Below are 25,045 nucleotides of genomic sequence, written 5' to 3'. Positions count from 1 at the left end.
TTCAAAACACACACCAAAATTTATTGACCTATATCGAGGTTTACCAGGTTTGCCTTTCAGCTATAATTTAGATGAAATTTCCTGAGCCCTCTTAACAGTTTGGCTGTTCAGCCTTATTTAGCCAACCAACCCTCAGTCATCTTTTAGGATTAATCCTAGACATTACTTTTCTCTGGACAACTTTCCTGGCCTTCAAAGTCTGGTTGGATGTTCCATTTATGTGAATTCAAAATACACTGTATCACATATCTTTCTCATAGCACTTAACACACATTATTATAAGCATTTTTTTAAATGTCAGTATTCTTCAATGAACCACTGACCCAAAGATTCACATATTTTTTCCTTTCCAGTATGCCAGACTCTTTGTCCAGAATCTACATCTTGGAACTTACTGAGAATGAAATATATTATCATTAGATTAATTGAAACAAAGACATTTACCATAACTGCAGGTGGGGAGGATTCACTGGGGCATATTCTCAACTTCTCTTCTTCTAAAAGCAATTTTCTTGCCTTTTCTTAAAGTTTAGAAAATTCAGTGGTGGCGGTTCTAGTCATCATGTCACTTGTTTTCTTTCATCTAGCATATTAAAGCTCTAAAAATTCCCAACTCTATTTTGAGCCAGTTAAGCACTGGATTGCAAACAACACAGCCTCCCCACCCTAATTTTAAAATGCATTCCTAGCATAGTGGTCATTGCCACTGCCTCTGACAGATACTGATATTTGTTTGGGGTTTGTTCGTTTAGTATGTTTTAGTTTGGGGCACAGTTAATGATGCCCTCTCAGGTCTAATAGGTTACCACTTGTCTCCAAGACACTTGACAACTTGCTCATGGAGTGCTCTAGATGCCACTGCCATCCCCGAAACCTCCTTATCTGCTAGCATAGCCTCCACTGTGTCTGCCACGGCTGAGCCAGAGGCGCTCCGGTGGACAGACCCCATTACTGGAACCTGCGTGTATTAGTCTGTTCTCACACTGCTATTAAAGACATACCTGAGACTGGGTAATTTATAAAGGAAAGAGGTTTAATTGACTCAGTTCAGCATGGCTGGGGAGGCCTCAGGAAACTTACGACCATGGCAGAAGGGGAAGCAAACATGTCCTTCTTCACATGGCGGCAGGAGAGAGAAGTGCTGAGCAAACAGGGAAATGTTCCTTATAAACCATCAGATCTCATGAGAACTCATTCACTACCACAGGAACAGCATAGGGGTAACTGCCTCTGTGATTTCATTACCTCCCACTGAGTACCTCCCACGACATGTGGAGATTATTACAACTCCAGGTGAGATTTGGGTGGGGAAACAGAGCCAAACCATATCAATTTGCCCTTGGCCCCTGCCAAATCTCATGTCCTCACATTTCAAAACGCAATCGTGCCCCTCCAACAGTCCCCCAAAGTCTTAGGTCATTCCAGCATTAATCCAAAAGTCCAAGTCCAAAGTCTCTTCTGAGACAAGGTAAGTCCCTTCCACCTATGAGCCTGTAAAATCAAAAGTAGGTTAGTGACTTCCTAGATACAATGGGGGCATAGGCATTGGGTAAATACACCCATTCTACATGGGAGAAATTGGCCAAAACAAGGGGGTTAGAGGCCCCATGCAAGTCTGAAACTCCACAGGGCAGTCATTAAACCTTAAAGTTCCAAAATTATCTCTTTTGACTCCATGACTCACATCCACGTCACACTGATACAAAAGGTGGTCTCCCACAACATGGCCTTGGGCAGCTCTGCCCTGTGGCTTTGCAAAGCTCAACCCCCCTAACAGCTGCTTTCATGGGCTGCCACTGAGTGCCTGTGGCTTTTCCAGGCACACAGTGCAAGCTGTATGTAGACCTCCCATTCTGGGGTCTGCAGGATGGTGGCCTTCTTCTCACAGCTCCACAAGGCAGTGCCCCAGTGAGGACTCTGTGTTAGGGCTCTGACCCCACATTTTCCTTCCACACTGCTGTAGCAGAGGTTCTCCATGAGGACTCTGCCTCTGCGCAGACTTCTGCCTAGACATCCAGGCATTTCCATACATCCTCTGAAGTCTAGACAGAGGTTTCCAAACCTCAGTTCTTGACTTCTGTGTACCCACAGGACCAACACCACATGGAAGCTGCCAAGGCTTGGGGCTTGGGGTTTGCACTCGCTGAAGCAATGTCCTGAGCTGTATGTTGGCCCCTTTTAGCCACAGCTGGAGCTGAAGCAGCTGGGATGCAGAGCACCATGTTTCAAGGCTGCAGGGGTCCCTGGGCCCAGGCTACACAACCATTTTTCCTTCTTAGGCCTCCAGGCCTGTGACAGGTGGGGCTGCTGTGAAGGTCTCTGACAAGCCCTGGAGACATTTTCCCCCATTGTCTTGGTGATCAATATTTGACTCCTTGATACTTATACAACTTTCTGCAGGTGGCTTGCAATTCTCCCCAGAAAATGGGGTTTTCTTTTCTATCACATTGTTAGGCTGCAAATTTTCCAAATTTTATGCTCTGCTTCCTCTTGAATGCTCTGGCACTTAGAAATTTCTTCTGCCAGATTCCCTAAATAATCTCTCTCAAATTCCAAGTTCCACAGATCTCTAGGGCAGGGGTAGAATGCGGCCAGTCTCTTTCCATAGCAAGAGTGACCTGTAATCCAGTTCCCAACAAGTTCCTCATCTCCATCTGAGGCCACCTCAGCCTAGACTTCATTGTCCACATCATTATCTGCATGTTGGTCAAAGCCATTCAACAAGTCTCTAGGAAGTTCCAAACTTTCCCATATCTCCCTGTCTTCTGAGATCTCCAAGTCTCTAGGAAGTCTCAAACTTTCCCACATCTTCCTGTCTTCTTCTGAGCCCTCCAAACTGTTCCAATCTCTGCCTGTTACCCACTTCCAAAGTCACTTCCACGTTTTCGGGTATCTTTACAGCAGCACCCCACTAGCCAGTACCAATTTACTGTAATAGTCCATTCTCACACTGCTATGAAGAAATACCTGAGACTGGGTAATTTATAAAGAAGTTTAATTGACTCACAGTTCACATGGCTGGGGAGGCCTCAGGAAACTTACAAACATGGCAGAAGGCAAAGGAGAAGCAAGTACCTTCTTCACATGGTGGCAGGATGGAATGAGTACAACGAGGGTAAATGCCAGATGTTTAACAAACCATCAGATCTTGTGAGACTCACTCATTATCACAAGAACAGCATGTGGGAAACTACTCCCATGATCCAATTACCTCCCATGGGGTCCCTCCCATGACACAGGACTGTGATGATTACAACTCAAGATGAGATTTGGGTGAGGACACAGCAAAACCATGTCACTGCCTGAACCCACAAAAGTGCTGGTTTCTTCTATCACTTTTATATTTGGTTGAAGTGCTAAACTACAGGGCATGGAGTCCAGCTTCCCCAGGGACTATCTCTTTTGAGGGGCTAGGTGATATAAACTGGAAGTGTGAGGGAATAAACTCCCTACAATGAGAATTTTAACTACTGAGTAACAGGTGGTGGAAAGGTGCTGGCAAAGAAATCTGTCTTCCCACGTCCTTCCAGTTATGTCCCACATGGTTGAGCAACCACTCATGATTTGTTATGAACACATGGCCAATTCAGTAACATGCCACCTTATATATGCTTACCTTCTTTTCCTCTTTACCCTCTTTTCCTCATTGCCCTCTTTTTCCTCTCTCCCTGCCCTGAGATTATAAGTCCCAATAAAGTATTTGCATGACACTTTGGCTCAGGTAAAGGAAGTAAGACTGTTTAAACTGGAGAAAGAGACATCCTTAAAGTAAAGATCTTGGAGGACAGGCGAACTGGTATGAAAAGTAAAGGGGATACAGCCAAGTCTAACTTCTCTTTGAGAAAATTTTTTTTAGTATTTTTTATTATTTGTATTTTTAGTTGTGGTAAAATATACATAACATAAAATGTACCATCTTTACCACTTTTAGGTGTACACTTCAGTACTGTTAAGTACATTCACACTGTTCTACAACCAGTCTCCAAAACTCTTTTTATCTTGAAAACTAAAACTCTACACCCATTAAACAACTCCCCATTCATCCCTTTCCTGAGGCCCTATCCACCACCATTCCACTTTCTATCTCTATGAATATGACTACTTCATGTACCTCATGTAAATAGAATCATACAGTATTTGTCTTTTTATGACTGGCTTATTTCACTTAGCATGTCACCAATGTTCATGCAAGTCATAGCAAATGTCAGAATTTCTTTCCTTTTTAAGGCTGAATACTATTCTGTTGTACATGCATACTACATATTGTTTATCTGTCAATGAACACTGGATTACTTCTACCTTTTGGCTACTGTGAATAATGCTGCTATGAATATGGGTGTAAAAATATCTCTTCGAGCTGGGCGCGGTGGCTCATGTCTGTAATCCCAGCACTTTGGGAGGCCAAGGTGGGTGGATCACGAGGTCAGGAGTTCAACACCAACCTGGCCAAGATGGTGAAACCTCAACTCTACTAAAAATACAAAAAAATTAGCCGGGCATGGTGGTGGACGCCTGCAATCCCAGCTACTCAGGAGGCTGAGGCAGAGAATTGCTTGAACCCAAGAGGCGGAAGTTGCAGTAGGCCGAGATCACGCCACTGCACACCAGCCTGGGTGACAGAGTGACACTCCATCTCAAAAAATAATAATAATAATAATATCTTCGAGACCTTGTTTTCAATTCTTTGGAACATATATCCAAAAGTAGAATTGCTGGATCATATGGTAATACTATTTTGAATTTTTTGAGAAACCAGCATACTGTTGCCCATACTGGCTATACCATTTTATATTTCCATCAACAGCATGCAAGGGTTCCAGTTTCTCCACATCCTTGCCAACAGTGGTTATGTTCTGTTTTTTTGATAGTAGCCATTCTACTGGGTGTGGTGTGGTATCTCATTGTGTTTTCGATTTACATTTCCCTGACAAACATCTGTAAAAGGAATTTTTTTTAATTATTAGTAGATTAAAAGAGGTAACCTGCCCAAGAAGTCTCACAGAGAAAAAGAGAGATGATAAAGTTTAGACCTTCGTATTTCTCTCCTTGGCCTCCTCCATAGTGAATGCAATTCCAAACAAGATAAAGAGTAACAGAATTTTCTCAGGTGGGCCTTATGCTAACTGCTAATACCTAATACAATTTAGAGACCATGTCTCATTCATTGTAACATTGTGGAACACAGTCTCAGTTTTTGTAGTTTAAAGCCCAGGCCTACAATCCTGGCAGAATATATTGTGTAAGAGAGCCATTAGACAACCGCTAATACTTTAAAAGTCTGCATTATAAAGCACAACTCCACAAGACAAATCTATGCCTTCTTTGGACCAGTGAAAATCCAGATACAAAAGCAAAACATAAGCCCTTGCCAATCACTAAGGTCAAATACCCAAGAGAGCTTGGCCTACAAAATTATCAAAGCCTATAGCTATTGCCCTAGCTACTGTGGAAGGCTCAACTTCTCCTAGATTTCAGCCTGCAAACATCAGCACTTGGGACTATTTCTTAAGGTTCCCAGTCCATGCGCCAATATGTTGAAGTTTATAGTGGAAGGCAATAAATAACACTCCTCTCTTCTCTCAAATTCTGATCCATTTGAGAAATAATTCCAGAACTGACAAAAATTTAAAAAGCTGTTTTACTACATAGAAAATGCCTTCTTCCTTCTCAGTTTTTGTGCTCCACCCCCTGAATTGAACACATACACTCTGCCTTAAGCAAAGCTGCACAATACAACCACAACCTCTACCTGTCAGAGAACTTGTGTGTCCTGGGATCAAGTCTCTTCAACAGGGGGTGAAATAAAACAAGGATAAGTGCCCTCTTCCCTTTACTTGTGTAAAAACAGAAATTCCTACTTTATATTCTAAAAGAGATACAGTAGGAGTAGAGTTCTTTCTGTCTTCTTACAGCCACAGCTATAGCTCACAGTCCTGTTGTAGTTGAGATTTTCTGAGTCTTGCCATCCCTCAGGGCTATAACTGACTAAGCCAGTTATCAATCTATTTAACTCTTAAATACCACTAATTTCTATAGCATTTCTATTACCCACGTTTCTGGACCAAGTGACAGGAATCAAATATTAGACAATGTAGAAATGGGATACTGGGCTCCATCTCAATGACACAGGCCAAGCCTGCATCTAGTATTAGCATCACTAGTCCTCTTCTTCCTTGTGGCTGGGCAAATCCTTATTTGGGAGGAATTCGGGGGCATGAGAGGAGTGGACTCTTACCCTATGTGTCATTCATGAAATAAAACCAGTGATCTCCTATAATCCCAGCACTTTGGGAGACCAAGGAGGGCAGATCACCTGAGGTCAGGAATTCAAGACCAGCCTGGGCAACATGGTGAAACCCTGTCTCTACTAAACATACAAAAATTAGCCAGGCATGGTGGTGTGTGCCTGTAATCCCAGCTACTTGGGAGGCTGAGGCAGGAGAATCGCTTGAACCCGGGAGGCAGAGGTTGCAGTGAGCCGAGATCGCATCACTGCACTCCAGCTTGGGTGACAAGAGGGAGACTCCATCTTAAAACAAACAAACAAACAAACAAACAAACAAGCAACATCTAGGTGCCTGGTACAACATCTGTGTCCAACATGTTGGTTTCCTTCCATCTAACAACAACAGAGATTGCTCTAGAGCTGGAGACACTGGAGTTGCATTCACTAGTTATCCTCAAAACACCCCACAATAAAATTATCTTCATAGAAGCTCCCTCATGTAATAAGGGGTTCTGGTATTTTAGCTGACGGAATAGTAAAGTAAAAATTTTAATGTGATTAAATATCTGGCTTTTCTTTTCAACGCAAAAAATTCTTGACCAAGAAATAATACCAATTCTACACAAATTCTCCAATAATATAGATGGGAACACTTTATTTTATTTTATTTTATTTTATTTTATTATTATTATACTTTAAGTTTTAGGGTACATGTGCACAATGTGCAGGTTAGTTACATATGTATACATGTGCCATGCTGGTGTGCTGCACCCATTAACTCGTCATTTAGCATTAGGTATATCTCCTAAAGCTATCCGTCCCCCGTCCCCCCACCCCACAACAGTCCCCAGAGTGTGATGTTCCCCTTCCTGTGTCCATGTGTTCTCATTGTTCAATTCCCACCTATGAGTGAGAGCAAATCAATAAATGTAATCCAGCATATAAACAGAACCAAAGACAAAAACCACATGATTATCTCAATAGATGCAGAAAAGGCCTTTGACAAAATTCAACAACTCTTCATGCTAAAAACTCTCAATAAATTAGGTATTGATGGGACATATCTCAAAATAATAAGAGCTATCTATGACAAACCCACAGCCAATATCATACTGAATGGGCAAAAACTGGAAGCATTCCCTTTGAAAACTGGCACAAGACAGGGATGCCCTGTCTCACCACTCCTATTCAACATAGTGTTGGAAGTTCTGGCCAGGGCAATTAGGCAGGAGAAGGAAATAAAGGGTATTCAATTAGGAAAAGAGGAAGTCAAATTATCCCTGTTTGCAGATGACATGATTGTATATCTAGAAAACCCCATCGTCTCAGCCCAAAATCTCCTTAAGCTGATAAGCAGCTTCAGCAAAGTCTCAGGATACAAAATCAATGTACAAAAATCACAAGGATTCTTATACACCAATAACAGACAAACAGAGAGCCAAATCATGAGTGGACTCCCATTCACAATTGCTTCAAAGAGAATAAAATACCTAGGAATCCAACTTACAAGGGACGTGAAGGACCTCTTCAAGGAGAACTACAAACCACTGCTCAAGGAAATAAAAGAGGATACAAACAAATGGAAGAACATTCCATGCTCATGGATAGGAAGAATCAATATCGTGAAAATGGCCATACTGCCCAAGGTAATTTATAGATTCAATGCCATCCCTATCAAGCTACCAATGACTTTCTTCATAGATTTGGAAAAAACTACTTTAAAGTTCATATGGAACCGAAAAAGAGCCTGCAACGCCAAGTCAAACCTAAGCCAAAAGAACAAAGCTGGAGGCATCACGCTACCTGAATTCAAACTATACTACAAGGCTACGGTAACCAAAACAGCATGGTACTGGTACCAAAACAGAGATATAGATCAATGGAACAGAACAGAGCCCTCAGAAATAATGCTACATATCTACAACTATCTGATCTTTGACAAACCTGAGAGAAACAAGCAATGGGGAAAGGATTCCCTATTTAATAAATGGTGCTGGGAAAACTGGCTAGCCACATGTGGAAAGCTGAAACTGGATCCCTTCCTTACACCTTATACAAAAATTAATTCGAGATGGATTAAAGACTTAAACGTTAGACCTAAAACCATAAAAACCCTAGAAGAAAACCTAGGCATTACCATTCAGGACATAGGCTTGGGCAAGGACTTCACGTCTAAAACATCAAAAGCAATGGCAACAAAAGCCAAAATTGACAAATGGGATCTAATTAAACTAAAGAGATTCTGCACAGCAAAAGAAACTACCATCAGAGTGAACAGGAACACTTTTCAATGAATTTTATGAGGCTGGCATTACCTCCATGCCAAAACCATGCCAAGAAAGAGAGAAAATTATAGACCAATATCTCTCACAAACATAGATGCAAAAATTCTTACAAAGTACTAGCAAATAAAATTCAATAGCCTATAAAAAGTATAGCACATCATGACCAGGTGGAGTTGGTCCCAAAAATGCTAAGCAGTTTCAATATTCAAATATCAGTTAGCGTAATTCATCATATCAACAGAATACAAAGGAAAAAAACAAATGATCATATCAATAGACACAAAGAAAGCCTTTGACATAATCTGACATTCATTTATGATTAAAGACTCCCAGAAAACTAGGAATAAAAGAAAATTTCCACAACCATGTAAAGGGCACCATCAGAAGAGTTACGATAATATCAAATGATGAAAAACTGAATGCTTTTCCCCAAGACCAGAATCAAGGCAAAGATGTTCTCAGTATTTCTATTCAACAATATACTGAAAGTCTAAGCCAGTGCAACAAGGCAAGACTTGATTCATAGGTAACATGATTGCCAAAAGAGAAAATCTCAAAAACATACTTTAGAAACCTACTAGGACTAATAAGTGATTTTAGCAAAGGTAGAGGATACACGGGCAATCATGTTACTGTATACAAATGCTTCTCAAATTACGATGAAGTTACATCCTGAAATGTCTATTTTAATAAAAAATATCATAAGTTGAAAATTCATTTAATGCTGGCAACATAGCAGATGGTCCCTGGCTAACAATTATTAGACAAGATTTGTTTATATTATGATGGTGTGAAAGCAATATACATTCAGTAGAAATTATAACCCTATCATAAATAAGAAGCCCCTCCATTTATGATGAGGCTAAATCCTGATAAACCCAACATAAAGTTGAAAAATTATAAGTTGGACCATTATAAGTAGGGGATCATCTATACTAGCAATGAACACTTGAAAATTAAAATTTTAAAACCATAATTTACAATAGCAACAAAAAGCCTGAAATATTTATGTACAAATCTTGCAAAATATCTCTAAGACCTTTATACTGAGAACTACAAAATACTGACAAAAGAAATCAAAGAAGACCTAAATAAAAGGAGATATATACTATGTTCATGGATCAGATGACTCAACATTATTAATATGTTAATTTCCCCCAAATTAACCTACAGATTCAATGCAATTCTAGTAAGATTTTTTTTGTTTGTTTGTTTTTTTAGAAATTGCCAAGCTGATTCTAAAATTTCCAAGGAAAGGCAGAGAAAAAAGAATAGCTGGAATATTTTTCAAAGCAAAAACAAATTTGGAAGACTCATACTACTTAACTTCCAGGCTTACTTAAAGCTGTAATAGTCAAACCAGTTGGTATTAAAGAAAGGTTTTATATATCTATTATATAATATAAATATATATGAACACAGTGGAGACTCCAAAAGCAGATCCACATGTGGAAAACCAAGTTTCAATAAAGGTACAAAAGCAATTCAGTAAAGAAAGGGTAGTCTTTTCAACAAATATTTCTGGAACAATGAATGCCCATTTGCACAAAGCAAAACAAAATACCTAGATACAGACTTTGTACCTTATAAAAACTTAACTGAAATTGGATCACAAACCTAGAATTATCAAACTTTTGTGTAAAAACTAGAAAACTTCCAGAAGAAAAAGCAGAATTAAAAAAATACCAAAAAACTTTGTAACTGTGGAATAAGCAAAGAGTTCTTAGATAGGACATCAAAAGTCTAAGCCAAATTTTTTTTTACATATTTTACCTAATCAAATATAAAAACTTTTGCTCTTCAAAAGATACCAGTAGGAAGATAATACAAAGCACAAACTGAGAGAAAATTTTTCCAAATGATATGTTTGATATGGACTTGTAACCAGAATAGAAAAAGAAGTCTAAAAACCCAACATTTACAAACCAATTTAAAAGTGGACAAAACATTTGAACAGATAATGTATCATAAATATAAATGGCAAATAAGCCATGAAAATTAAAGTCACAATGAGATACTGTTATGCACTTAACATAACGAATTTATTTAAACTGGCAATATAAGGTGGAGTAACTAGAACTCCTCATACATTGTTGATGAGAATGCAAACTTACAGCCACCTTGAAAATCTATTTGGCAGAATCTTACCAAGTTAAACATATACTACACAATGCAGCAATCCCACTTGTAGTTTCTACCGAAGTTAAATGAAAACCTATATTCACACAAAATCCTGTATGCTAATGTTTATAGCAGCTTTATTTGCAACCACAAAAGCTGGACACAACTGTGGTACATACATACAATTAAATACTACTCAGGAATAAAAAGGAGCAAACTGCTGATACATGCAACATGAATGAATTACAAATGCATTATTCAAAGAAAAATAAGATTCATAGGGCTTAATAGTTTATGATTCAATTTCTGACATTCTTGCAAAAGGGGCAAAAGCAAATCAATGGTTGCCAGGAGAGAGGGATTAACTACAAAGGAGCACTGGAGAATTTAGGGGAGTGAGAGAAATGTTCTACATGTTGATTGTGGTGGTTGTTACAAGACTGGGTGTTTGCAAAAACTCATAGAATTGTGTACTAAAAGGGAATGTCTGTAAATTTTACCTTAATTTTTTTAGGTGGGGAAAAAAGAAAAATAGTTATTGATTGTAAGCAAGTGTGCCTCTCAGTAAACACACTTAAATGTATTATACGTTCATTTTCTATAATTCATTGTAATACTTTTTCCTGAGTTTCTATTCTGCTGGACTGGTGGATGAACTTATCTTCAGTTCTTCCTGAGAATTATCTTTTGTCTCTGCTTCTCCAAAATTTATGCCATTAACTGTGCAGTAGCAAGGTGGGAGCAGAGGTTGCCAGGGATCAGTACTCAGGTTCACACACGTTGCTGCATCCCTTGTCCCAGGACATATGAGCGATTACATCTGGTAACTCCAGGTAACTCCCATTGTTTCCACGTCACTCTTACAAGGCTACTGTGTGTCAATTAACACCGCACCACACGCACTAGACAGTCGTTTCCTCTTTAGGATCTTGCTGATGGTCCATCAGCACTGCTGTAAAGCAAAGGCAGAATCCTTCCTCCGGACGACAGAAATCTTTCATTGATCCATTTCATTCATCCCTTCCTCCTCTTCTCCTTCCCTCTCTCTCTGCTCTGTCTCCCACACAGCCCAGAGGAATACTCTGCTCTCTCCTCTGCTTGTTTCTGACCAAAATACTTTGTCTATACCCTTAAATACCAACTTTTACCTTCTCCGCAAAACTCTCTAAGTTCCCCTGAGGGCTTAGGCTTCTTCATGACAAATGTCAGAAAGACAAGCAGGCTATTTCTGAGTTCAGCCCTTTTCCTGCCTCCCCTGAGGCAATCAAGCACAGAGTTAACTACAGGGGTGCAGGAGAGCAAAGCAAGATGGAAACACCGCTAGGAAAAACAGATTGGTGTCTTCAAATGCAGCTCCACCTCACCTGCTTAAAAGTTTTTTAAAGGCGCTACCTTTATTGCACTCTCTTTTACAGGAAGATAGAAATACTTGAGCAAGCTATCCTATTTCATAAGGTACCATAAATGTTGGTTATTGATTTGATATTGTTGAAATTATTTTATGTTATAAAATTATGCTATTCTTCAGAAAGCAGAAACAAAGAATTTTTAGTATATGGAATAATGTGTGAACTAAGTGAAAAAGAATGCACATAAAAATCTTACTAAGAAAAGCTGTGGGTCTATCAGCATTCCGTACAGTTGTTCCGAGGCGAAAAAAAAAAAAACACGTTCTAAAAAATAAAATTTATGGAAACTGTGCTGCCAAATGTTAAGTAAAAAATAATCAGAGAAAAAGTAATTAATTCACATACTACACATTTTCCTTTTTTCATCCTCTGTCATGGCAATTATGTACTTTTTAGTGGGACATCTGGAAACCTAAGTTCACTTAAAACATTTTCTTTCTAGCAAGCAGCTAGCCAGGAATCTCCATGTTCTATAAGTTGCTGTCAGCTTGCCCCTGCTTCCAGCTCCAAATGAAGTCAGCCTGCCTTGCTTCCAGACAGTCTAAACAATCGCAGATTGACTCCAATTGCAGAGCACACTCTCCAGATGTCCAGGATTCAAGGAAGCTTGGGCATACTGTACAGATATAAATAAAGCCCCATATTTGCTGGTGAGTTAAAGGAACCATACATAATTGGATAGGCAACCAACCTGGTTTATCCCTGAGGGCATATAGTTAAAGTGAAGTGGCGACCTCCCCATTAGACAAAGTATCCAAGTAGCAAATAGATGACCTTGGATGGCATATGCACAGGGAATTCAAAGAGTTGGTTTAAACGGCCTATAAAATCTCTTGTTACGATACAACCTTATGATTCTATGCAATTTTTTTTCAAGGAAGTGAGAAAAAATACTACATTATAAGAAATTTCTCTTCCATAATGAATCAAAGCCTGGATGATTCCATAGAGAGATAAAAATAAATGATACCATATTTAAGAATTCTATACCCTGAGAGATAAATCAGAGAGATAGGCTACAAGGTAAATAATGCTTTTAAAATTATGTATCAATTTAGTAAAAAACTTACAGGGATATGCACATTTTTTCATTTAAAGCAGGTTAGTGCTAATGTGACTGTAATAGGATCTTATGATTTTCTGAATGCAGGTGAATGAACAACAGACACTACCAATTTGAAATGATATGAAAAGATTGATATGATTCAATAGGAAAACAAAAAGGCTAAGGGGTGAAATTTCTGTAAGGGAATAATGCTGTATTGCTTTTTTGTCCATACGTTATTGTAAAGGTTTGATTAGTAAAATGAGGTAAATGAATAGGAAAGAAGACAATTTGTGTTAGACATGTATGAAGCAAAAGGTATTTTAGAAAGAATTTTTACTTTTTTAAGCCACTCTTTGGACAAAAACTAATATTTTAATTTTGACTAATTTCTCTCACAAGAACATATATAAACGTGTTCAGATGCAAAAAACTGTTTTCTGCCTTTAAGCAAGATATATTGCATATAGGCTGCCTGAGGTCCTGAAGGCACCCCCAAAAATGGGATTAAGTGAGATCTCCCCTTCACATTCCCCTATATAATAGGTCACCTAAAGAAAAGAAGTCATAAAAGTCAGGGTATTGCAGGAGGTAAATGGGAAATATCTGTACCTTCAGCTCCATTTTGCTGTGAACCTAAAACAGCTCTAAACAGTAAAATTCTGTTTAAAAAGTCAGGGTATTGTATTTTAACCAGAACCTTCCAAAAAAAACAAATGCTATTTTTTCCAAGATTAAAAAAAAAATCACATTATGTGCACTTAAATTATCTTTTAAGAGACTAATATTATTTTTTAAATTACTAAAGGAGAGAACACTAGTCTAAGAGTAAACATGTAGTCTCGGCTCTGACTGCAGCTTCACACATCACCAGGTATGTGAATTTGTGTTAGTCTTTTCATTTTTCTGGGCCCTAGGTTCATCAGATGGAAATTGGGACAGTAATAATTAGTCTTATCTACCTAAAACTACAGAAACATGAAAATTCTTTGAAAAACACAAGGTCATATACAAATGTAAGCAAAGAAGAAGAAAAACAGTGTGTGACAATCATTTATTACATTTATTACAAATGTAATAGTCATTTATTCATTCATGCAATCATCCAGGAAACATTATGTGAACAACCAACACAAACCAGCCTCTCTGCCAGGCACTGGGGATTCCACAGTAAACAAGGCAGACAGAATTGCTTCCCAAAATTAATAGTCTAATGGAAAAGACAGACACTAAATAATCATATCACTAAATATACCATTAAAATTTGTATATTTGCCATAAGAAAAATTTAAAGGCAGGTTACAAAATTATGATGGGTGACCCAATTTAGATTAGGACTGGGGTCGGGGGCAACAAGATAATTAAGAAAAAGCTTTTCAGAGATTTGAAGTATGAAAAGTTGGCAGACCAAAATTTGGAGGGTTGGGGTTGCAGACAATATTCCCAGGGTGGGGGAAGGGGGAAAGCACATTCAAAGGCTTTGAAGTAACTGGACATCTTCAAGGTACTAGAAGGCCAGAATGACTGTTACTGTTTTTCATTTATGTGGTCATCATAATGATCTCATACTGCTTTTAAGAATAAACCAAAACAATTGTGAATATCGACACACTAGTTTTTTTGTTTTGTTTTGTTTTGTTTCTGGTAGAACAGTGTCTTTGTTTTTCAGTGTTTTTGTTGTTGTTGTTGTTGAATTTTCAGTTCCTAGGTACATGTGCAGGATGTGCAGGTTTGTTACATAGGTAAACATGTATCATGGTGGTTTGCTGCACCTGTCAACCCATCGCCTAGGTATTAACCCCAGCATGCATTAGCTATTTTTCCTGATACTTTCCCTCCCCAAACCCAACATGCCCCAGTGGACACACTAGGTTTTACTTAGGCTGAATTTCCTGTCTTCAAAAAATGTTTCCAATTTAGAAAGTCTCTATATCCAAAGTAAGCTTCTAATCTCTATATACTTAGTAATTATTATGTCGGAAGGACATTTTTGACACCCTCTATTCCGTAGGCTTCAAAGAAAATCAGCTTGCTAAATTTAAGAATTTAAAACAGTAAAACTGGTAGACCAGAATATATCCTGAGAAAAAGCAAAGTAGACTCAAAACCAGCAGTTGAAGTTCCCAAGGTTGTTGGGGATAGAAAAGGGAAAATGAGGGAGATGCTATCTTGACCCCACATACCTACCACATACCTACTCAAACTCATATGTAGAAGAGGAACTTAGATTCTCTCTAATGGATATGAGAGAGGCTCATTATGGTAAGTTAGCAGGGGGGCAAAGTGTGCCTCAATGCATGAAAAAGAGCTAATAGTGGGAGATGTCTAATATGGTAGGGTGGAGAAATGGATATTCCTCTGGAAGTCAATTCAGAAGCCATAAATTTCAGTACAGATTACATTCCATCTGAGGGCCATATAGAGAAGATTCAGGTGCTTTTCAGGACCAACATCATGAGTAAGCTTTAGAGTTTCTTCTAGCACTGAGACATACCATTGAAAAAAGCCTCCTTAACGAAAGATTTAGGACACTATTCTCAGTAAAATCAAGTCTCATCTCCCCAAATTATCGATCAATTAGAAATTCTGATCAGGAGTGGGATGTCCTTAATAACACCAACATCAGAGAGTTGTAGAGAGCTTTGTAAACTATAAACGGTTTCTACAAACCACTGAGCCATGAAAAGAAATTTTATTGGAAATCTTTAGCATTTCTCAGTATGAGTTTAGAAGAAAGAGTTTGGTTAGGGAATTAGAGTAGAAGGACCCAGGTACCTGGCTTGTGCCAAAGTGTTCTGTATCAGGTCTTGGAAAAACTTGAATTATGATTTTTCAAAGCTGATGGGGATGGGTCAGTAAAATTATGGAGCCAGAGGAGACCCTGAAGGTTGAGGAGTTATGCAGATGAAGGTAACAGGGCAGAGGAAGGCATTTTAAATATGAGACAAAGAGCAATACTGTCCAAAGGAAGGAGGCACATCCAAGAAAATGCACACATTAATAGTTCAGGTGGGTATATGTTGTGTGAGCTAGTCTGGTTAACAGGGAAGCTAAAGCTTAACTCGTGAAACAGTAGACATTGATCTAGTAGACCGAGGGTTCTTAATCTCCAGTTTCTGTTCGTCTTCTGAACAAGTAAATATAGTCTCTTATAGGTACAAATCGGGGCTTTCTTCTGACACCCTACAGTTTCCCTTAGGGAATGCGCCAACTCAGACTGAGCCAAGTGAGAGTCCTGGGCTAATATTTATGTTGACTTAAGTCTGATTAGAAGACAAGATGGGACATAGAGTTTGATTAAAATTTTATTGGATAATCATGCTGATTGAATTTTAAAAGATAATCTGCTGTAATAAATTCTCCCTTAATTTCCCTTTGCAATTCCAACCCAGATGAGTGCTAGGATATTTAGGTTGCATTTACTGAATATCTACGCCTGTCAAGCACTGTGGTTAGTGCTCTATCGTCAGTACAAGCCTGTGAGGTAGATGCTATTCTCATCTCACAGAAGAGGCTCAAAGAGGTTAATTTCTTTCTTTATTTATTGAGTCAACATACATCAGTTAAGCACCTCCTAAGTGCTACTGTTGGGGGGCATCTACCAGGAGCTACCATGGGGACACCTACTGCCTTGTCTATGTAGCTCTCCCTTATTCTGGGAACAGTACCTCTTTCGTTCTTGGCTCATCCTCTATCTTTAGTCTATCCATAAGTATCACTAACATTTCTGTTTTCTCACCTAACCCCTCTTCCTTGACCACATCAATGGTAAACTGACTTAGTATTTTGGAATATGGGACTAAGACAAAGTCAGGATAAAGGCTCATCAATGACTGAAAACTATAAAATGAAAAACTCAGGAACTGTGATGGGCCGTGATTTTTGCCAGCTAGAGGAAGTCCACGGTGAAAGGGAAAGATGAAGCTGACATGATGAGAAACAGCAGAGACACAAGACAGAGGCTGGATCCTGATAACAATCATTACTCCACATCATTGCTGTGTCTTTTCAAGAACTGGGTGTTCACCTCTTTCTTAGACCCCCTGATTATATCCCAGTATCCTTCAAAAAATTCTTTTGGTGTGAGCTTGGCTTTTGGGGGTTGTTTTCTGGCTTATTTTTACTTCTAATAGTCTGTCACCATGTTAGGCATGTAAGCCAAAAGATTAAAAAACATACAGTCTCTGTCTCATGATATATAAGAAATATTTCATAAGGACACATGGAATGATTGTCCGTGGTGTAGGGAAGGAACATGATCCCCTAGGGTATGTATCTGAATCATCCAACTCTAGTTTTCCCTTGACACTCCTCCTCTGCAAGATCTTGATCCACTTTCTCCCTCAGGGTCTGGCATCTCTGGCTAAGAATTTTGTAATAGTGATGCACAGTAATAGATGAAAGGGGACTGCAAACATTTTCTGCAAAAGGTCAAATAGTAAATATTTTAGCTTTGGGGGATACATAGACTCTGTTACAACAATTAAACTCTGCTCTTTTTATCCAAAATCAGCCATAGAGCACACTGAATGGGCATGCTTCTGTTCCAATAAAACTTTATTTACAAAAACAAGTGGCAGGATGACTTTGGTCACTGGGCTGCTGTTTGCCACCCTGGCTCTAGGTATTTGGAGGCAAAGTAAAGTTGAGAATCATGATGTGGAGAGTTAATTGATTGGCAGAAATAGGTACCAGGTGCTCTGGAATTACAGACGAAGCACCAAAATAAACCACAGGCATCAAGAAAAATATATTTCTGCAAAAGATGACACCTGAGCTGAGACAAGTTTAAGAGGAAGTTAGCCAGAGCAAGGAGAGATGAACAGAAAAATCAGCATTTACAAGTGCAATGAGCTTTGGTAGACCCTGGCGTTTGAGGACCTACCAGAAGTTCCCCATGATTGGGCAAAATAAGTGTTAGGAAAAATGGCAAGAAATATTAACATGATGAAGCACAAAAGCAAGATAAAGTTTTAAAAAAATTAATAAACAAAGAAATTTGAACTTTATCCTAAAAGCTTTGGGGAACCATGGAAGAATTTAAAACAAACAGAATGAACATCGTCTGATTCCTTCTTTTTTAAAAAAATTAATTATCTCTTAAAGCTATAAAAAGTAGGAACAGGGAGGGATTCCAGGTAGGAAAACATGGCAATTATTCAGACGTGAAGGGATGAGGGCCTGAATTTAGGCAATAGAGTCAATTTACATACTAGAACTGATGGAACACAACTTAGAGACAGGTAACATGTAGGGCTGAGAAAGAAGAAGAAAACTATTCACAAGGAAATTGGATGGATAAGAGGGAAAAGCCACCAATATTGGAACATGTGAGGCATGGTGAATGCAGCTTGGTACATGTTGTGTGTGAGATGCCTGTGGGCCATTTGAGTGGAAATGTAGATGGTGAATAAGAAGCTGGCTCTGGAGATAGATAAAAAGTCAGCTTTTTATATACATTTGCTTACTACATACAGCCCTAGGAGGTAGAAACTATCATTACTCTCATTTCACAGATGAGGAAACTGAGGCCAAAGAAAGGCCAGGGGAATGTTTTCTACAATAACACTAAAATTACAGAATTGGGTGTTAACTGAATATAGGAGCACATGAGCAGGACATTTGGAAAAAGTGTGTGGAATGAAAAGGATGACCAAGGTTGAAACCCCCAACACAAAGACTTTTAAGAGATAGAGAGAGGAGAGACATGGTAGTAATATCCTCTCTAGAGCCAGAATATTTGAGCTCAAATCCCAACTCAGTACCTCTATTTGTTAGTTTTCTCATCTGCAAAAAAATTAAAATAAAACAATAGCAGCACCTAACTCATAGGGTTGTATATAGCAACTAAAAAGATGTACGTAAAAATCTGATCATGCAGCACACCAAGTACTGAGTACTCAAGAAATATTTGCTATTATTTTTATTATTAATTTTTATTATTATTTATTTATTATTATTTTTATTATTAATTTGAAAAGAAAACAAACAAAAATGTTAGGTTGGAGAAGTTTGGTGCAGACAGCCCAAGGACTCTAAAAGATATCAGAGAACAGATGAAGGGGGTGAGATACACAATGATCAAGGCTTGTGGTTAGAAAATGAGATCCTGAAGTTTCTGAAAGTCAAGGAATTGGATGGTCCCGAATATTGACCATCCAGAATGATGGTAGGGCTTAAGGAAAGAAGGAGAATTGCAAATTGTGTTTTTAAATATTCAATGACTGTGGAGAGAAATTAAGAGGTCCATGGTTGCCAGAGGTCCATGGTTGACAGTGGGGGGTGAGTGTGAAATGTGGAGGACTTGGATGGTGTCGCCAAATACCTAATTTTTTTTTTTAAGATAAATGTTGAATTGCAGGAAGAATAACATTTTGGAACAGTAATGTGGGATATAAGAAAAAGTCACATAGCTCCAAATTTAGGGTGAGACTTTACATGTCTTAGAAGACCATTAAGAGGACTTCCAACAAGTAGGGGAGACCAAGTTTCAATTAGGGCAGAAGATAGGGAAGGAACTCTATAAAGAGACTAAAACTGTGAGGGTTCGCTGGCATGAACAGGCAAACTTCAAGGGTACTGTGAAAAGAGTTGGAAGGGGGAGGACACAGGAGGGAAAGCGAAGAGAAATCAAAGCAGGACATGGATGCAGGTATGTGAGAGAGGAGCTGTAATGACCCAAGGGCATGGCTGCCAAGGAGAGCTGGAATGTGAGGCCTGGCAGAGTGCATGGCCTTCAAATTTCCAAAAGAAACTTTGGAATAAAGTTGTTTTGATGCTAGAAAACCATGGCATTTGCTCAGAGTTCCAAATAGTATGTTGTGAAAATAGGATGCCTCCAAGCTAATATTTTTCTGGATGTACAAGGCAGGATTTTCTTTTACCAGAAACTTAGCTTGCGGTGGAAGCCGCAGTGGCCCCACTGGCAGATGAGAGGGCACAGATTTCTCTTGGTGGGGCCAACCGCTGTCTGAACTGGTCAAGAAGGCTATCCAAGCTCTCATAGTCAGCCAATCACAAGGTTTATAATTCAAGCCTTAATCTGACAGAGCCAAGGTCTGTGCTTTCTGTACCACCCTACTTCTAAATAAAGCAAACTATCAATAACTACTAGCTACTTTTCAGGGTCATTACAGAGAGCAAACGAGTTACTATTTGCAAAAGTAATACATTTTGCAATGGAAGACACACTGTGCAAATATTATCTTACTACCATTACCAAATAATTCATTATGTGACAGTTAGAGACATATACTAGAACCAAGACATGAACTGCTATGGAGGAGGGTGGAGAGAGAGCCGAGACCCATGAGAGAGATTTGGCAAGGATTCTTGGAGGAGGTGAGATTGGAGATGACCCTTGAATGATTTTTCATTTTCCCCAAAGATACCTTCCCTCTACATCTCAGATATACCCTTTCTGTCTCCATTTCAATGCAGCTGAGGCAATTTGGCCTTCAGGAGAGAAGGAGGGAAAACTGGAAAGGCCTCCCTGTGGCAACTGAAGCTGGGTGTGGGGCAGCAGACTAGAGCCCACCTACCTCTCAGGCAGTCATCTTCTCTTGGAAGAAACACTCCTCACTGCTCCAGCCCAGCTCCTGGGGCCTGACCTCTTTTTCAAGCCTGCTTATCGGGCCTGAACTCCTCCAGCTGGATCTTGTTTTTTATTTGGCTCCTTCTTTTCAGCTGTTTCTCTTTCAGTCCTCTCGTCTTGATTCGTGAAAGGGAACGTAGCCAAGCCTCATCCTCCTGCCCAGGACAAGGCATAGAGATTGTATTTAGGCATGATGGACCTACGTGGGACAAAAGACAGGTGTCCATCACTGGACTTCTGGTAGAGGTCTCCTTTGGGAGCCACTGAGCCTCCTCTAAGTGTTTGGAATTCAGAAAAACAGGACTAGATAACTCAACATGTGTAAACAAGATGAAGAGAGATTTCAGCAGGATGGAAAGGGACAGTATCGTTTTCCCGGGTAGTAGCTGAAAGCAATCTGGGTCTGGAGGTGGCACCCCCTCCCCTGAGCAACCATGGTTGACGTCCTTTCCATTTTAAGCAATTGAGCTACCGGCGGGGCTGTAGGTCAGGCCCCACATGTTACATAGCTTTTATCCAGCTATGAGACCCAGCATGTATAGGGCTAGAAATCCACCCCCACCACCACATAAACAACTAAAACACCGCAGAAACTTTTCCCCAAATTCCCACGCCACAAATCTGGGGGTATGCTTCCACCTCCAGGAGGAAGCGGCTTCCTGGAAGGCTGAAGGAGATGAAAAATGCAAAACTAATCCTCCCTTGCCCACTCTCACACCACCGCTCGGCCTGCCTGCCCCCCTTCCCACCCACAACCCCTCCTATTCCCCAAGGGGTGCCATTTGGGAACCAAAATCCACTTCGTCAGCGCAAGAGCAACCCTGCCTTTTCTTGCTCCACACACCATGTGACACTGGAGAACCTCCAGGGCATATTTCATCTGGCATCAACAACTAGAGGTCACCGTGACCCAAAACTTCCTGCGTTCTCAGGCCTGGCAACGCCTGCCAAAGCTAGCCATGGTGGGGGTAGGGGAGCGCCGCTTGTGGGGAGCTGACCAAGTGTGGTGTCGGCCGCCCTGCCTGCCAACAGACAGCAACACTGGTTTTCCACTGCCGGCCATTCATTGGACTTGGACAGCTTTGTTCCTTCTCTGGGACCAAGTCAACAAGCTGGGACCAGAGGAGCTGCGGCTGTAGCACGCAGGGTAAAGCCGTCTCTGTTTGCTTGCAGCTTGTTTGGGGCAGCAGCTGGGCTGGGTGGCTCCCAAAGATTCTGATTTTCCACCTGTTCTACCTGCCAGACACTGCAGGGTGACAAGGGTTCAGGACTCTCAGGGATTGTTGTTTCATTAATTTTTTTCTACATAGGGAAAAACAAATTGTTATAAGGCCAGAGACTTCATGTTGAATTTTGCTCAGGGTCAAAGGCAATGATGGTGAAACCACAAGGCTTGGAAATTAGTTTAGAATCAGAATGCGGGCTCTACTTCTATGCAAGAATCATAAAGTTTTGGGGCCACAAAAGATCATAAACCATCCAAACCAGCGCTTCTTCATCCAGCTTGGTAAAGAGACCTTTGAGTAATTTATGAGAACAACCCACTCCCTGTCCTGGGAAAAAAAAACCTCTGAACACCCAAGATTTTACTCACAATTTTGGGAGTGCAGGGGCTTTCCTGGAAGCCCATCCCCTGGACGTTCTTGTCTGCCCCCAGTACCCTCTCTTCCCCTCTCAGCCATCTCATTTTGCAGAAGGAAAAATGTGAGACCCATGGAGGATATAGAGTCTTGCAAGGATAGAAGCTGGATGTGGCCCTGCTGAACCCAGATCTCCTGGTTCACAGCCTTTCTAGCAGATGACATCATGCTCTCCTACCACAGGATCCCCCTTCCTTTCGTCTTATTTTCTTTACTCGTATTGTCCCTGTTTTTCTTCATTTATTTCCCTTCCTGTTCACTCCTCCTTAGTTCCTCTTTCTTTAATTCTCATATTTTTTATCTTCAAACATTGTTTCCTCTAGTACTTTCCCTACCCGGCTCTCTTTTCTTCTTCTTTATACTCTGTGCTTCTAGTGCTTGATCAATTGGTCAGTCTTAGCTCTGTGACCCTCTGACTAGGTCACTGGCCCCTGATGAATCAAAGGAGACGATGTCTAAACCAAAGGCAGAATGAGATTGCAGAAAGAAATGAAGTCAAATAGAAAATCCTGTCTCTCCTCTTAAATCTTCGGTATAGATCTAGTACAAACAGGCCTTTTTTACTCTTGGTAAAGAAAAGATGACTACGTAAAGGGGGGAAAACACAGAAACCAATTATTTCCATCAGTAGTTCTCAAATTGTGGTTCAACAATCCCTAGCGGTTTCTGAGATCCTTTCAGAGAAGACACAAGGTCCAATTATTTTCAAAATAATATGAAGCTATTATTTGCCACTTTTCCTGTGTTGCCATTTGGACTGATGTGCAAAAACAACAGCAGGTAAAATTGCTGGGGCCTTAGCACATTTAAGGAAGTGAACCCAAATCAGGCCATATTTTTCACGGCCATGAACAACTATTAAAAGAAAAAGTAAATTTCTCTTTAATTTGCTTTAAAGATGCAGTTAAAATTATTATTTATTTTATGAAATTTATAACGATGAGTACACATCTTTTTCTATTCCATGACAAAATGAGAAATATGCACGAAGGGCTTCTGCTGTTTCCTGAAGTATAATAGTTGTCTCAAGAAAAAGTAGTTGTGCAATTGAGATATAAACTAAGTCAATTGCTTTTTTCATGAAACACATATTTATTTGGAAGAATGACTGACAGACAAACTATAGGTATTTAAACCTGGGTATTTCACAGACATTTTTTCAGTAATGAACAAAGTGAAGCTGCCACTTCAAGAGCACAATCAATAATACCTTTTGCCAATCATAAAATTTAAGCTTTCAATAAAAAATTAGAATGTTGGAAAAGGTGTATCCACCACCAGGAACTTAACAGCTCCCCAATACTTAAAACTTTTTTTATTTGATTAGTGTTGATGTTGAAATATGTGATAATTTGAGTTTTGGAATGAAATGTGCCAACATTTGAAAGACTGGTAGAAGTCAGTGAACCAATATTTCCCAGATGACCAAATGCGTAGTGTTACAAAGCCATGCATGGAGAAAATACACATTTAAAATGCAAGATGCACTAGTAAATTTTAATATAACTGAGTACAAAATGTTCATTCATATAGTTCCAGATCCCACAATGCAGTTAATCTTAGAGAAACTCCCAGTTGTTAAGTTTTGATGTGGTAGCAAAAAAGAGAGAGAGAGAGAACTGTCTACAGTTGTCTGAAAATACTATTAAAATATTTCACTCTTTTTCCATTATACGTCTGTATAAGGCAGAATTTTCTTCATCTACTTCAACTAAACAACATATTATTACAGATTGAATATACTTATGTCTTCAATTAAGCCAAACTTAGGAGATTTGCAAGAATGTAAAACAACACCACTTTCTTTTGGAAAATATGTGAACTAATGAATTTTTTACGTTTCACACTTTTAATTTCTAATAGAGTAAATATGAATAGATCTAACTAACATAAGCAAAAGCTCTTTGGAGTCCTTAATCATTTTAAAGCACACAAAGGAGTCCTGAAGCCAAAATGTTTGAGCACCACTGCTGTAGAAGAACAGGTCAGAAGGAAGAAAAGATCAATCTCTTGGTATCAGACACTATGAGGAATCCAGCTCTTATAGAGCTCATAATTTAATAGGAAGGTAAACATGCAGATCTATAGCTGCTCTACAAGCACAGGCATGCCACAGCAGAGGAGAGATGAAGTGCTCCACTCAAGTGGAGAGAAGAGGGGTGAGAGAAGTCTTCACAGAGAAGGTAACACTCGAGAAGCCAGAATAGAAACTGAGGATTCAGAAAACAAAACCAAAGAAAAGACAGTAGTGATGGGGTGGCACTAGGGCCTCCCAAGCAGGGGGAAGAGCCCCAGGACAGGAGAAGGAAGGTATACTGAGTGGAGAGCAAGCATTCCATTTGATGCAACTGAGGTGTGGTATGCAGAGCCTGCTGGGAGAAGCCTCCTATACAACTGGTGTTTAATAACTGTTTGCAAGATTAATGTGCACATGAAAACAATGATTGACCATGAATGCAGTTAGCAGTGTCTTATCGTTTCCAATTCCCACAGTATACATGAGCAAACGTTATGGATACGACTGATAGAGGTCAAGAGAAGTGAGATGATTCATGCCAAGTGCAAATCAGAGACAGAGCTGGGCCCTGACCAAACTCCCCTCTCCTCTCCCAAGGTCTCATTCACCAGACAACATTTTATAACGTTAGGCCCTGGCTGAGCTTCTTCTATCCCAACCTGAGAAGGATACTGAAGAATGAATAAGGGAAAGACAGACATAAGCTGT

The 25,045-nt window shown here is 39.6% G+C and overlaps 1 protein-coding gene and 1 long non-coding RNA gene across 10 annotated transcripts in view; one reads left to right on the top strand and one right to left on the bottom strand.

Annotated features, from left to right (window-relative positions):
* Positions 1–25,045, bottom strand: part of TPRG1 (tumor protein p63 regulated 1) — a 328,078-nt gene that overhangs the window by 204,473 nt on the left and 98,560 nt on the right. For 5 of the 9 annotated variants that reach the window (XM_047448032.1, XM_047448034.1, XM_047448028.1 and 2 more), the window contains exon 1: positions 20,628–20,742. The gene's annotated coding sequence lies outside the window, so the exon portion shown is untranslated. Of the gene's footprint in view, positions 1–444; positions 1,020–20,627; positions 20,880–21,319; positions 21,368–25,045 lie in introns of those variants that run through there. The other 4 variants (XR_001740120.3, XR_007095667.1, XR_007095668.1 and 1 more) reach the window with 3 other exon arrangements.
* Positions 19,773–25,045, top strand: part of LOC107986167 (uncharacterized) — a 37,180-nt gene continuing 31,907 nt past the window's right edge. Inside the window, exons 1-2 of the long non-coding RNA XR_007096249.1 lie at positions 19,773–19,796; positions 21,653–21,827. This is a non-coding gene — a long non-coding RNA (uncharacterized LOC107986167). The remainder of the gene's footprint in view (positions 19,797–21,652; positions 21,828–25,045) is intronic.

The sequence above is a fragment of the Homo sapiens genome, chromosome 3, assembly GCF_000001405.40.
Source record: "Homo sapiens chromosome 3, GRCh38.p14 Primary Assembly".
Taxonomy (NCBI): domain Eukaryota; kingdom Metazoa; phylum Chordata; class Mammalia; order Primates; family Hominidae; genus Homo; species Homo sapiens.
Note: the sequence above shows the minus strand (reverse complement) of the source record. Positions and strands in the feature narration are given on the sequence as shown.